At 51.1% G+C, this 13,055-nt stretch overlaps 1 protein-coding gene across 24 annotated transcripts in view; it reads right to left on the bottom strand.

Moving 5' to 3' along the window:
• The window catches only part of KSR1 (kinase suppressor of ras 1), a 169,988-nt gene that overhangs the window by 14,655 nt on the left and 142,278 nt on the right, over positions 1 to 13,055 (bottom strand). For 10 of the 24 annotated variants that reach the window (XR_934587.4, XM_047436989.1, XM_047436985.1 and 7 more), the window contains 9 exons: positions 10,380 to 10,421; positions 9,823 to 9,888; positions 7,893 to 7,947; positions 7,053 to 7,101; positions 5,968 to 6,347; positions 3,771 to 3,867; positions 2,452 to 2,585; positions 1,583 to 1,714; positions 152 to 287 (listed from right to left, as the gene is read on the bottom strand). Coding sequence is in view for 22 of the 24 variants with exons in the window: in XM_047436989.1 (XP_047292945.1) it covers positions 152 to 287; positions 1,583 to 1,714; positions 2,452 to 2,585; positions 3,771 to 3,867; positions 5,968 to 6,347; positions 7,053 to 7,101; positions 7,893 to 7,947; positions 9,823 to 9,888; positions 10,380 to 10,421 (1,091 nt within the window). In the remaining 2 variants the exon portion in view is untranslated. The other 14 variants (XM_047436986.1, XM_006722154.4, XM_047436988.1 and 11 more) reach the window with 5 other exon arrangements.

Raw genomic sequence — 13,055 nt, 5'->3', positions numbered from 1 at the left:
TGCATATCATTTTCATCTCTAGCTAGACACGTGCAGGTGGCAGAGCTCCTCACCGACCCCATTTCTCAGGTGGGTGAGTGAAGGGCAGCCATGCCACATGCCCCACCCCACCTCCAGCCCTACTGCTCCACCCAGGGCAGGTACTACTTACACTGACTTCCTTCCCCAAGCTGACAGAAGTCAGGACACGCTTCATTCCTTCCCCGCTTCCAATCTGCCAGATGGATGCCTCTGCAGCCTGGTTCTTCAAGGGCCAGTCTCTTGCTTGCAGCTCATACCAAACAGTCCTGCAGAGACCCAGCCATGTCTGTGAGCTCCTGGGCCGCTGTGCCCAGCTCAAGCCCAGGGGCCCTTGAGCCATAGCCCAGCCAGAGGATCAGGACCCTTCTCCAGCCTTCCTCACCCACTTGGCTTCAGGGGATGCTACAGTGGGCTCCTGGAGGCTCCTCCCAGCCCTAGAGGACCTGGGCCCTGTGCTCTCGTTGGGTGGGAAGTCTGAGACAGCGCAGGTTTGACCGGAGCCTTGGTGGTCATTCTGACCTCAGCACAAATCCAGCTCTGCCACCTTCTAGCTGCAAGATCCCAGTAAAACTGCTTCACCTCAGTGGGGCTAATGTCTCTTGTCACAGGGTTGTTTGAGGAGTACTAAATTGCCAAGCCCAGCACCTGGCACACATGGGTGCTCAGGAAAGGATACAGTTAAAGGTCAGGGAGGAAGGATGGCGCCAAGGCCACCCCACTGGGAAGGATACCCAGATACAGCACAGGTGACCGGGGTGGTGAGCCTTCCTTGGCCTCTCTACGTCCCCTTGGCTTTCTTCACTTGGGATGGGACTTTCTCCATCAGACCCACACTGTCCAATGTGGGAGCCTCTTGCCACAGGGGGGCTACTGAGTGACTGAAATGTGCACAGTTGAATGGAGGGGTGCTCTAGGCAGAAAACACACCAGATTTTAAAGACTTAGTAGGAAAAAAGAATATAAAATATCTTATTAATTTGTATATTGATTACATGTTGAAATAATATTTTGGATATATTGAGTTAAATAAAATATATCGTTTTATAATATATAAAACATAAACAGGGGAAACTAATTTCATCCATTTCTTTTTTAATGTGGCTATTAGAAAACTTTAACTTCTATATCGGGCTCACATTATATTGCTACTGGTCAGCACCCAGGTCTTTGTGGGGTAGCAGAGCCGGCAGGATATCCAGCTCCCCCAGACTGGGAGGAGCAGTTCTTGGTCAGCTCTGGTGAGCATCCTCCCAGATCAGCTGGGTGGGGCTGACAGCCAGTGTTAAGCACTGCACACAATTACCTGATTTAGTCCTCATGAAATGACCTTGTTGGGAGGAGCTATTCCAGGTCAAGGATATAGTCATGCACTCAACAAGCGGCAGAGCCAGGACTCAAGACCATGCACTCAACAAGCGGCAGAGCCAGGACTCAAGGTTGATTTTTTACTCCAGAGCCTGGGTTTTCAACACCTAAAAGCATGCCTCCCTCTGCCCCCAATGGCCACCAGGGCCCTCTGTTTTGGCCACACTTGGCCTCAGGGCACCAGGGGCCTACTCACCCAAATGCATAGACATCAGCAGCTTTGGAGAATGGCAGCTGATCCTCGTCCTTCCCGGGGGTCATCTCGCGTACAATCTCAGGGGCCAGATAGCACAGCCAGTCGTGGGACAGCTTTAGCTGGTTCTCACGCCTGGAGACCAGGAAGCCGGGACAAGGACACAGGCCTTTCAGCAGGCAGCAAAGAGGCCTGCCTGGCACAGGTCTGCCCCAGGGCCGGCAGAACACCCACACACAGCTTAGAAAACACACCCAGACCCAGAACACTGACCCTGCACTTGGGAAAGGCACCGGTGCTTTTGAGGAATTCTACAAAGGAGTCATGACCGGTTGTTTCTAGAAAAGCAGGGCAAGAATGGATAAATATTGACAGGGAGCTGCTGGTGAAGGTGCCCAGCTCCCTCTGCTGGAGAATGAGGCGCCTCTCTAACCAGGAACCCTGATCTGCCTGTGGATCTCAAACTTGGCTGGGGCTGGCCTTGCAGCCTTGCTGCCATGCTCCCTTTTGGGTTCCCCTAGATGTGAGGGGAGGGGCCTTTCTCCCTATGCCAATCCCTTCAAGATTTGGGGAAATAAAATTTGACACTCTTCCTCATCGTGGGGAAATGACCTGGTTCCTTGGCCAAGCGGGTGAACAGCCAGGGCAAATGTGAGTGTGGGGACCTGGTTTCCGTGGAAGTCGGCCTGAGAATCCAAACGCGACCCAAATCTGATTCTGAACCAGAACTACGAGGGCAGGACCAAAGCGACCTGGGCTTCCCTGCAGGGAGGGCTGCAGCTCAGCAACAAACAGTGAAAGTGCCCAGACCTCAGCCCTGCTCTTCCCCATCCAGCACCCACAACCCACCCAGACACTCAAGACCAACTCACCGTCCCTCTCGGACCACGCCTGAGATCCCAAACAGCCCGAAGTCTGTGATGACCACCTTGCCGTTGTCATAGAAGACGTTCTTAGATTTGAGATCTTTGTGTACGATGCCCTTGGCATGAAGATATCCCATGCCCTGGAGGACACATCAGGAGGAGTGAAGATGTGCAACGATGACGGAGGTGCCACCCTGGGCTGGATGATTTACCTAAATCCCCATATTTGATCTTCACAATTCCATGCAGTATATTGTCCCCATTTTACAGAAGAAGAAATCGAGGTTCAGAGAGGGAAAGTCACTTGCTCCAAGCCACACAGCAGTGAAGAAGCAGAGCTGAGATCTGATCCCAGACCGGTCTATGCTCTTTTAATGTTACCATGCTTCTAAACAACCATGTTAACCTTGGCTAAGGTAGGAGGTGTGAACAGGGTGATGGGCAGGGAGCCGGGGGGTCAGGGACAGTGAGATTTATCAGTGTACAGTCATAAAGGGCCTAAATGAGCTGGGGTTTTCTGTCAGGATATGCACAGCTGGTCTGTGCTCTCAGGCAGGACAAGGGCTCAAGGTGGGGGAACAGAGAGGCATTCCCACAGCGGGGTCCCCAACTTTGAGTGCTCCTAATGTCTGAGCTGTAGTAGAAGGAGCCCTGGACTAAGAAATCTGGGGTTTGAACTCCATCTCAGCTCAGATTCTCACTCACTCTGTGGCCTTGGACACAGTGCTCAACTTCTCTGAAGACTGGTTTCCTCACCTATCAAGCGAAGAGGTGGCAGTGGGTGATTTCTAACCAATGCTCTATTTGAACTAACACTGATGAGTCAGGTGCATGGAGCGTGGGTGACCTGACATAGGCATGATCTCATCCAAGGTCAAGCTGTCTTCAAACACCAGACCCAGGGCTCCTGTGTACCCCACAGCATGGATTATCGCGTTTTTAACCTCACACCAATCCAGAGAGGGAGGATATATGAAGATCCCCATTTTACAGGGGAGAAAACTGAGGCTTAGAGAGGCTAAACCTACCCAAGGTCACACAAAGGGTGTGACCAGGATTGAAACTGGCCTCTAAAGCCTGCCAAGTTCCTTCCCAACCAAGTCAATTCCATCAAGCCTAATCATGTGGACAATCAGCTCCCAGCTCTGAATGAATGAGACAGAGACAGGGAGGAAGAGATGGGGTCCCACCCTTGAGGAGCCTGAGCTAGAAGGAGAGGCAAAGCTGCCCAAACCACCCTAACAGGGAGTAACAGGGCGAGAGGAACAGCCGAGAGCCCTGGAACCGGCCAGAAACCCACCCCCAGCAGCTGGGCACCCCCTCACCTTGATGATCTCCTGAGCGATTTGCCTCGTCTTGTTGATGTCCAGAGACGTCTTGGGGTCCCTCACAAACGAGTGCAACGTCCGCCCCTTGCAGAAGCTGTCGAGGGTGGTGGGGGTCAAGCACAAGTCTGGGGCTGGTGCGGCCTGACCCCAACCCTGGTGGAGCCCATGGGGAGAACTGTGCCCGTCTGCCTGCAAGGACTCTCTCCAGCCCCTCGACTGTGAGCCAAATCTTCTTTAACCCAGCCCAGTCCTGCTGGGGCCTGGCCTGAACGTGCAGAAACACATGACACCACACACGTACACGCACACAAACCCCCATTCCCTGAGAGCCAGTGCCTGCCCATCCTACAACAGGAAACAGTGCATCAAAGCTCTCAGGAACTCAGAGTAGCCATGCTTGGTGGGTTCAAGGCAGGACCACTCTGATGGGGAAGAACTTGGCTAATTTAAGGGCATCAACAGGCAACATCAAGGCTCTGGGGCTCACTGTCAAGAATCTCATTATAGTTTTCATTTTTTCTTGATCACAGGGTTTTTATTACAATAAAGGAGTGTGCAAGGAGGGAAAGGGGGTGGGGTAGATGTTAGGGGCGTCAAGGTGACTACTGGAAAAGGAGCTTCAGTTCTGGGGTCGCCACCTGCATCAACTCCTAAAACCCCGGGTGAGGAGGGACCCAGAGAGAATGTGGGTCCAAGGGAGCTATCTTAGGAAGGGACTATGTTTTTAGGAAAATATTCTTGGAGTCTCAGAGCCTTTGAAAACCAGGCAAGGGGTAGAGAATATTGGTTGGTGATTTCCTTATCTGTGTCCCACTTTTCTTCAGCGTATTCTAAACAAAGTAAGATTTTTTTGTTAATGAATATTTTCCTGTTTCAGGCAGGCCACAGTGGCTCACGCCTGTAATCTCAGCACTTTGGGAGGCTGAGGTGGGCGGATCACCTCAGGTCAAGAGTTTGAGACCAGCCTGGCCAACACGGTGAAACCTCATCTTTACTGAAAATATAAAAATTAGCGAGGCGTGGTGGCACACGGCTGTAATCCCAGCTACTTGGGAGGCTGAGGCACGAAAATTGCTTGAGCCTGGGAGGCAGAGGTTGCAGTGAGCCAAGAACACGCCACTGCACTCCAGCCTGGGTGACAGAGCGAGACCCTGTCTAGTTTATCATTAATTAATTACCTGTTTTGTTTTTCATTAACTACTTTTTTTTTTTTTTTGAGATGGAGTCTTGTTCTGTAAATAAATTACGGGACCACCAGTGATCAGCTCTTGATTATACAACTCTTCCCAACTCTACTCCACTCCAGGAGATAACATTGGTAGTCTGAAATTGACCATGGTGAGAGTATTTACACCACAGGAAGTGATGGATGTTATAAATTAGGGCTTCCCTCCATACTGCCCCAAAACTGGTTGTTACACATTTACCAGCACACCACTGGGTTCAGCCTACGTGATGGGGATACTGTGCAGGTGTTAGAAGAGAGTAGACCTCAGACCCACAATCGGGTGCAGGAGGCAAGGTGTGAGCCAGCATGATCTCTCCTTTGTATTTTTACAAAAAGGAATAAACAGTTTAAAAACGTGAGTATATGCAAATGTCTTCCTTTTAACAGAAGGAATGTTAACTGTTTATAGTGTCTCTGACTTTGGGGAGAAGCGCTCAGTTGCAGTGGGAGAAGACTGGCTTTCACTCTGTACCTTTTATGGACATTTGATCTTCTGTAAACTTAGAAAGGTCTCACTCTGTCACCCAGGCTGGAGTGCAGTGGCATGATCTTGGCTCGCTGCAGCCTTGACCTCCTGGGCTCAAGCGATCCTCCTGCCTCAGCCTCCCAAGTAGCTGAGACCACAGGCACAGGCACCTGCCACCAGGCCCAGCTAATTTTTTTGTAGAGACAGCGTCTCAGTATGTTGCCCAGGCTGGTCTCAAGCTCCTGGGCTCAAGCAATCCTTCCACCTTGGCCTCCCAAAGTGTTGGGATTACAGACATGGGCCACTGCACCAGCCCATATTTATTTATTTTTTAGTGTCAATGCGGTTATGTGATTAGGAAGTTATACCCCATTTTTGGTTTTCTTCTTTATGCCTCTATTAGAACTTCCACACCCTCTAGGGCATCCACACAAACAGGGCTCCCTGGGAAGGGGGAGGCTGAGCTGGCCATCCAGCATGAGGTCCTAGGGCTTGGTTACCTGGTGATAATGGCCAGGTGGGGCGGGTTCATGCAGGCCCCCATGAAGAGCACCACGTTCTCATGCCGCGTCTGCCGGTAGTTCATCACCTCTTTCTTGAAGAGCTTCAGGTGGTCCTGGTTGTGGCCGTCCATCTCCAGCAGGCGAATGGCCACCTCGCCATGCCAGCGGCCGCGGTGCACCCGGCCCCAGCGGCCCTGCCCGATGGGCTCGCCCAGCTCTACCTGCTCGAAGGGGATGTCCCACTCCTGCAGGTACACGCTGGTCTGGCTGGCCTTGCGAGAGATGGGGCCCCGCCAGGGCCGGCGAGAGCTCGGCAAGTCGTCCACCTCGTCCTCATCGTCTTCTGCCTCTGACTTGCCAGCCTCTGGCTCCTCAGCCTGAAAGGAGAGCAGGAAGAACAGGGATGGGCAGCAGATCTGGGCTCTGCGACGTCTCTTCCTTCTCCTGGAGCCCTAGCCAGGTAACAGGGGAGAGAGGCATCCTGCCAGGGGACCCAGGTTGTAGTTGCAGCTCTGCACTGGCCTGCTGTGCAGCTCACTTAGCATCAGTGGACCTCAATGTCCTCATCCACAATATGTGGCGGCTGGCCCCGGTGACCTGAGGCCCTTCATCATGCTAATACTCCAATACCTACCTGTGAGCAACATCTAATTGTCCAGGAAAGAGCAAGAGCATCCCTGGCATAGAAGAATTTCACTGCATCCATCCTTCTGGAACTCTTGTTTAAACACAGAGTTTCTGACTCTCCCCTGGGCAGGAGTAAATCAGTCTGTTAACATTCTCCAAGCCATAATGCAATGGAGGGATCCAGCCTTGGCTGACACTTTTGTTCAAGGGTCAAGGCAGTGGTTCTTGACCCTGGCTACAATCACCTGGGGAGTGTGGGGAAGACAGAGCTTGGACAAGCTTGCTCCATTGCATTCCTCATCGTTCTTCCCTGACATGCACCTCTGCAATGGGTGCCTGGGACAGCCCTTGCCAAAGTCCAGAACCCACTCACCCTCAAGCCCCCTGCGCATTCTGAGATGGGGAAGGGAAAAAAGAGGGGGGGCCATCTGTGGACACGTGTGTGTCACCCTCACCTCCGCTTCGTGAGCTTCCAACACATCTGCTTTCGGCTGGTCATCGAGCCTAAGAGTAAACAAGGTTTGTCAAGGAGACCTTGAGGAACACCGCTCTGCTCTCAGCTAGCGGGGACTCCCGGGAGAGATCTGAGACAAAGGTACTTACTCTGACTCACACCTGGCTAGGGGAAAGGCCGCGTGGATAGCATGGCAATAGGCAGGAGGCTGAGGGCCAGACCTGCCCCTTGTGCAGCCTCAGCCTTCCCTAGGCTAACTTGAGGGTGGTGGGGGCTGAGAGGTGGGCAGTGATCCCCAAAGCCCCTTTTCAGATGTGACACTGCTACACAGGGTCTCAGAGCACACCCACAGGACTCGGAATCTGACGGCCTCAACTTGGAAAACCAGCTCTATCGCTTCCTAGCTGTGTGACCTTATGTAATTTCTTAACCTCTCTGGGCTGGCTGTATGTTAAGAATGACACCTACTTTGATACCTACCACCGCGCTGAGGGTGAGATGCGGGAATGTGAGTCAAGTGCTCAGCATGGCCTGGTAGAGAAAGGGCTCTGCACAGGAGCTATTCTTAGGCTTCTCTAACTCCAAATGCCCTCTATCCAACCCGCCTGGGTCCCAAGACTGCTCCAGTTTCACATGCGGCCCCACCCAATGTTGACCGCACTGATAGGAGGCAAATAAAACCCTCTGTGGAGTTCACTTGCCCAGAGGGTGAATGAGCCCAGGGAGTTCTGCATCTGGCTGGCTGGAGATGGAAAGGTGGAGTGGGAGGTGGCCAGGGATATGGATCCAGCCTTAATAATTCCCCAAAGAAGCGAAGGGGACACCACCTAGGGATGCCTACCGGGTACCGTCGGCAGCTTCAGGGAGCGGGGCTGCGTGTGCAAAGGCTGAAATGTCTGGAGGAAACAAAAACCAAACACAAAGCATGAGATTGCTTTCCTCTCCCCAAAGAGACACCGTGCTTGAAACCCAGCACCCCCAGAGAGGCTGATTTTCCCCTGAGTGGACTGCCACATGTTCCCCAGACACTCCCACAAGGACCAGCCTGGGCCCTTCCATAAATTTTGCAAGGACGCAGCCTCCACAGCACCTGCTTCTGCATACACAGCTGTGTCTCAGGAAGGGGCTCTGGGCAGGGGCTCTGGGCAGGGGATCTGGGCAGGTGGGGAGGGTGAGACTTCTCATTACCACCACGCCCCTGTGGCCAAACTGCCCCCCACCAAGCAAGTGGTAAAAGCAAACTGGGCTCTCATTTACTGGACAGGCTGGCTAAAGCTGCTGTTTGGAAGCAGGGGCTGCTTGCAACAACCCTTGAAACTAATGAGATTCCCTCACTTTGGCCAGCAAGGCCGGTGGCAGGACATGCAGGTGGCTCATTAGCGACACCTGGTGGCTGATACAGTTGCTGGGAATTTCCAGCACAGAGGCCCCGAGCCCTCGGCTTCAGGTATGGGTCACTGGTGGAGCAGCTCTCAGGGGAGAGGAAGAAACGCCACATATCAGGGGCCCAAGAGTGGGCAGCTGGGGCTGATCCCTGAGCCTGGGGTGTTCCCAGTTTTGGCGCTAAAAGTCCCACGTCCAGGAAGACCAGAACCAAAGGTTACTCCAGCATGGAACCAAAGTGCTACAGGGAGATTGGTGGCCCCAGGGCCGCCATGGACGGCTCACTCCCCGCTCTTTTCTGCAAAAAGAGAGACAGGAAGTGGCAGTGGCTGAAGCTATCAAAGGCCTCTCTCCTGCCTGTGTGGACAAAGACTCTCCCCGCTCAGCCAAAAGACCTCCCTCGACCTTCTTCTAGGGCTTTCTTCTGCCTTTGAAGGTCATCTGAACCACAGGCTGTCAACATCTCTGGGACCTCACAGACTTGGAGAATCTGATAGAGGCCGTGGGCCTTCTTATCAGGGAAATGCACACATGTGCCCAACATCCTGTGCACAATTTCTGGGGGATCAGAACCTTAGAAGCCTCTACCGGTAAGGCCTCCCCCGGACACAGTGTGTCTGCAGACTACCAGCAGGGGCCTGGCATTTCCACCCATCCCACACTGCTCAAATGTTCCAAAGGAGGCAAACACACACCTAAAGCATGAGGGAAGTAGTAAGAGTTGGGGTGTGGTTTCTCCCCAAACCCCAGATGGGAAGGCAAAATGCCTCTCTGAATCCTCATGCTTTTGCTTAAAAGTTAAGAGTGTATCATGCATTCTGCTCCAAAATGTGTCCACGTTTGCTTTAATAAAAATGTATTTCCTTGCCCTCCCTGTGACATATCTTCGGGGGAAAATGGACCCTTCTGGGAGAAGAGCCATATCTTCCCAATGTTTTGGGGTAATTCCCTGCGTGCATCCTAGAGCTAGTAACCAGGGGAACCACAACAAAAAACCGGTGTGAAACTGCAGAGGCTGCTCAGCTGTTCAGAGGGAGCCTCCGGGAGGCGGGTTCTCAGGGCCCTGACTGCTGCCCTGCACACACCTGAGCAACGCCATATGGATGGTCCTCTAAGGACTCACAGATGCTCCAAGTCAACCCCCTAATGGAGCTGGCTTAGGGAATAGAAAAGCCTGGAGTAACCAAAATACTGTGACTTCAAGACAGTCCTGTTCAATCCAAAAAAAAAACAGCTACAGTCTTTGTTTTAAACACCATTATGCTCATCACCTTCAGTTACAGTAAAAAGCACTGATCTCAAGCACTTTAGGGGCAGGAATGAAAAGGTTGGTACATAGTAAGTGTAGAAAACAACTTTTGCAGAAGGGACTCAATGTATTGACTTACTGAAAGCGTTTTCCTTTAAACTTTCTGCAATAAGGAGGCATTTCCAGCAATGGCCAGCAGATGGCACTGTGTGGTAAGGCACAGAAGGGTGAAGCCCACTAAGAGAAGCCCGCAGACCTTCCCAAATGGGTTTCTACTTCTCTAAGACATTGTGCATAAGATATCCTCCCATCATTGTGCAAGGGAGGATACGGTGACATATGCTCATAAGGCATTAGCAAAAAGTCCTCTCCCCATTCTATAAACCCAGATTCTAGTCCTTCTGCCATCTCCTAGCAGTGTGACCTTGAAAAGGTTGCCTGCAGTCTCTGTGCCAAGAGGCTGGATGGGATGGATTCCAGGGTCCCTCCCAGCAAGAACTTCTCACGTAAGAGGCCTACCACCAGGGCACTTGCCCTGCCCTCTTCCCATCCTCTATGGGCAGTCAGCTCTCAGAACAGGTGGAGGGAGACTCAAGTATCTCCAAAGGTACCCAGAGAGAGGGCGCCCTGCCCAGGTGGGCAGGACAGAAGGGGTCACAGCAAAGGGCAGTTAATGGAACCATGCAAAGGACTCACCTGGAAAGATAAACTGCTGTCTATGATGAATGAAGTAGGCAGCTTTAAACAGAAGAGGAGGTGAGTCACACACACAGAACGGCCAACGCAGGAGGGAGGAGCGGAATTGCAGGTACCGGCTTGGGAGGCAGGGACTTGTTACTGGGCTGGGACAGCCCTACCCCAGATGGACCTGGCAAGGACAGGCCAAACCATGCAGGAAGGAGGAAAAGAGCTGGGAGAAAATGGGCCCTGGCAGGAGTCTGCAGGACTAAAGGGGCTTGCACTGGAGGATTGGGCATTCCAAGACCCCGTCTCCGGTCACCAGCACTCTGTGAAATGCATGTGAGCCCAGAAGGGCAAAATACAATGGGAGAGAAACAGTGATTCTGAAAAGTTTAACAGTGTTATGTACGGAAGAATGGCCTCCTCCCCCTGAGCCCCACCTGTACCTCCAGAGTGTCTCAACCTTACCACTCCCTACCCACATTTTTTTCTCTCTCTCTCATAGGTGACTGAAAAGGATACACTGGGGTTCTGGAAGCTGACAGCATGTTCCAACCTCAATTCTGCCACATAACTAGGCTCTGGGACCTTAGGGAGTTGGCTAACCTCTCCAGCTGTCTCACTGTCAAATGGGGGTGTAAATACAGTCATGTGCCACAGAATGTTGTTTTGGTCAACAAGGGACCACATACATGACGGTGGCCCTAATTATAATGGAGTGGGAAAATTCCTCTTGCCTAGTGATGTGGTAGCTGTGGTAACAGGGCAGCACCATGCATTCCTCACGTGTCTGTGGTGACGCTGGCGGGAAATAATCCACGGAACTACAAGCTGTATAAAAGGATGGCACGCACGATTATGCACGGTAGCATCTTACTTGATAATGAGAATAAACAACTGTATTACTGGTTTATGTATTTACTATATTGTACTTTTAATCATTTTTAAAATTTTTTTTATTTATATATTTATTTTTTGAGACAGAGTCCTGCTCTGTTGTCCAGGCTGGAATGCAATGGCACAATCTCAGCTCACTGCAACCTCTGCTTCCTGGGTTCAAGCGATTCTCCTGCCTCAGCCTCCCAAATAGCTGGGATTACAGGCACCCAGCCCACCACCATGCCTGGCTAATTTTTGTATTTTTAGTAGAGACGGGGTTTCACTATGTTGGCCAGGCTGGTCTTGAACTCCTGATCTCAGGTGATCCGCCCACCTTGGCCTCCCAAAGTGCTGGGATTACAGGCGTGAGCCACCACATCCAGTCTTTTAATCATGATTTTAGAGTATACTTGTTCTACTTACCAAAAAAAAAAAAAAAAAAAAAAAGTTATCTGTAAACTAGCCTCAGGCAGGTCCTTCAGGAGGTATCCAGAAGGTGGCACTGTTATCACAGGAGATGCCAGCTCCATGTATGTCACTGCCCCGAAGACCTTCCGGTGGGACAAGATGTGGAGGTGGAAGACAGTGATATTGATGATCCTGAGGCTGCACAGGCCTAGGCTAGCGTGTGTGTCTTAGTTAACAAAAAAGTTTAAAAAGTAAAAGAAAAAATAAGGATTTTAAAAATAGAAAAAAGCTTATAAAAATTCAAAAAAAAAGTTTTTGTACAGCTATACAATATGTTTGTTTTGGGCTAAGTGTTATTACAAAAGAGTCCAAGTTAAAAAAAATGTTTAAAGATTATAATGTAAAAAAGTTGTAAGCTAAGGTTAATTTATTATTGAGGAGAATATTTTAAAATAAATTTAGTATAGCCTAAGTGTTTAGTGTTTATAAAGTCTACAATAGTGTACAGGAATTCTTCCAGAGCAGCTTCCAGTCCCCTACAAATAAAGAACAATTGACTGATTGACTGATTTAGAGACAGAGTCTTGCTCTGTCACCCAGGCTGGAGTGCAGTGGTGCAATCTCAGCTCACTGCAACCTCCACATCCTGGGTTCAAGCGATTCTCATGCCTCAGCCTCCTGAGTAGCTGGGACTACAGGTATGTGCCACCACACTTGGCTAATTTTGTATTTTTAGTAGAGATGGGGTTTCACCATGTTGGCCAGGCTGGTCTTGAACTCTTGGCCTCAAGTGATCCGCCTACCTCGGCCTCCCAAAATGCTGGAATTACAGGCATAAGCCACTGTGCCCAGCCCTATTTTTAATATTTTATGCTGTATATTTACTGTAGCTTTTCTGTGTTCAGATGTTTAGATACACAAATATTTAGCATTGTGCTACAATTGCCTACAATATTCAGTACAGTCACATGCTGCATAGGTTTGCAGTCTAGAAACAACAGGCTACACCACACAGCCGAGGCGTGTGGAGGACTATACCATCTGGGTTTACGTAAGTGCGCTCTATGATGCTCACGTAACAATGAAATCACGGAATCTCTCTCTCAGAACATTTCCCCGTTGTGAAGCAGCACGTGACTATAATCTTTTCCCAGGTTTACCCCTGAAGTTCAAGTGCAATGCCCCTGCACAGCACAGAGCAGGGGACGATAGGAGGCGTGCCTTCTCCAGCTGAACCACCGGGCCAGCCGGGCGGGCAGTGGGGGTTGGGGGGAGGGTTGACCCATTGGTGCTGCCACGACCAAAGAGACAGGATCTTGGAGAGAGTGAGGCCTCTGTGCAGGGGACGATGAAGGCCCAATCTGGGGACATCAGGGAAAGCAGCAAGGGTCTGGCTGATTGTGC

Source organism: Homo sapiens, chromosome 17 (genome assembly GCF_000001405.40).
Source record: "Homo sapiens chromosome 17, GRCh38.p14 Primary Assembly".
NCBI lineage: Eukaryota > Metazoa > Chordata > Mammalia > Primates > Hominidae > Homo > Homo sapiens.
This window is presented reverse-complemented; position numbering and strand designations above follow the sequence as displayed.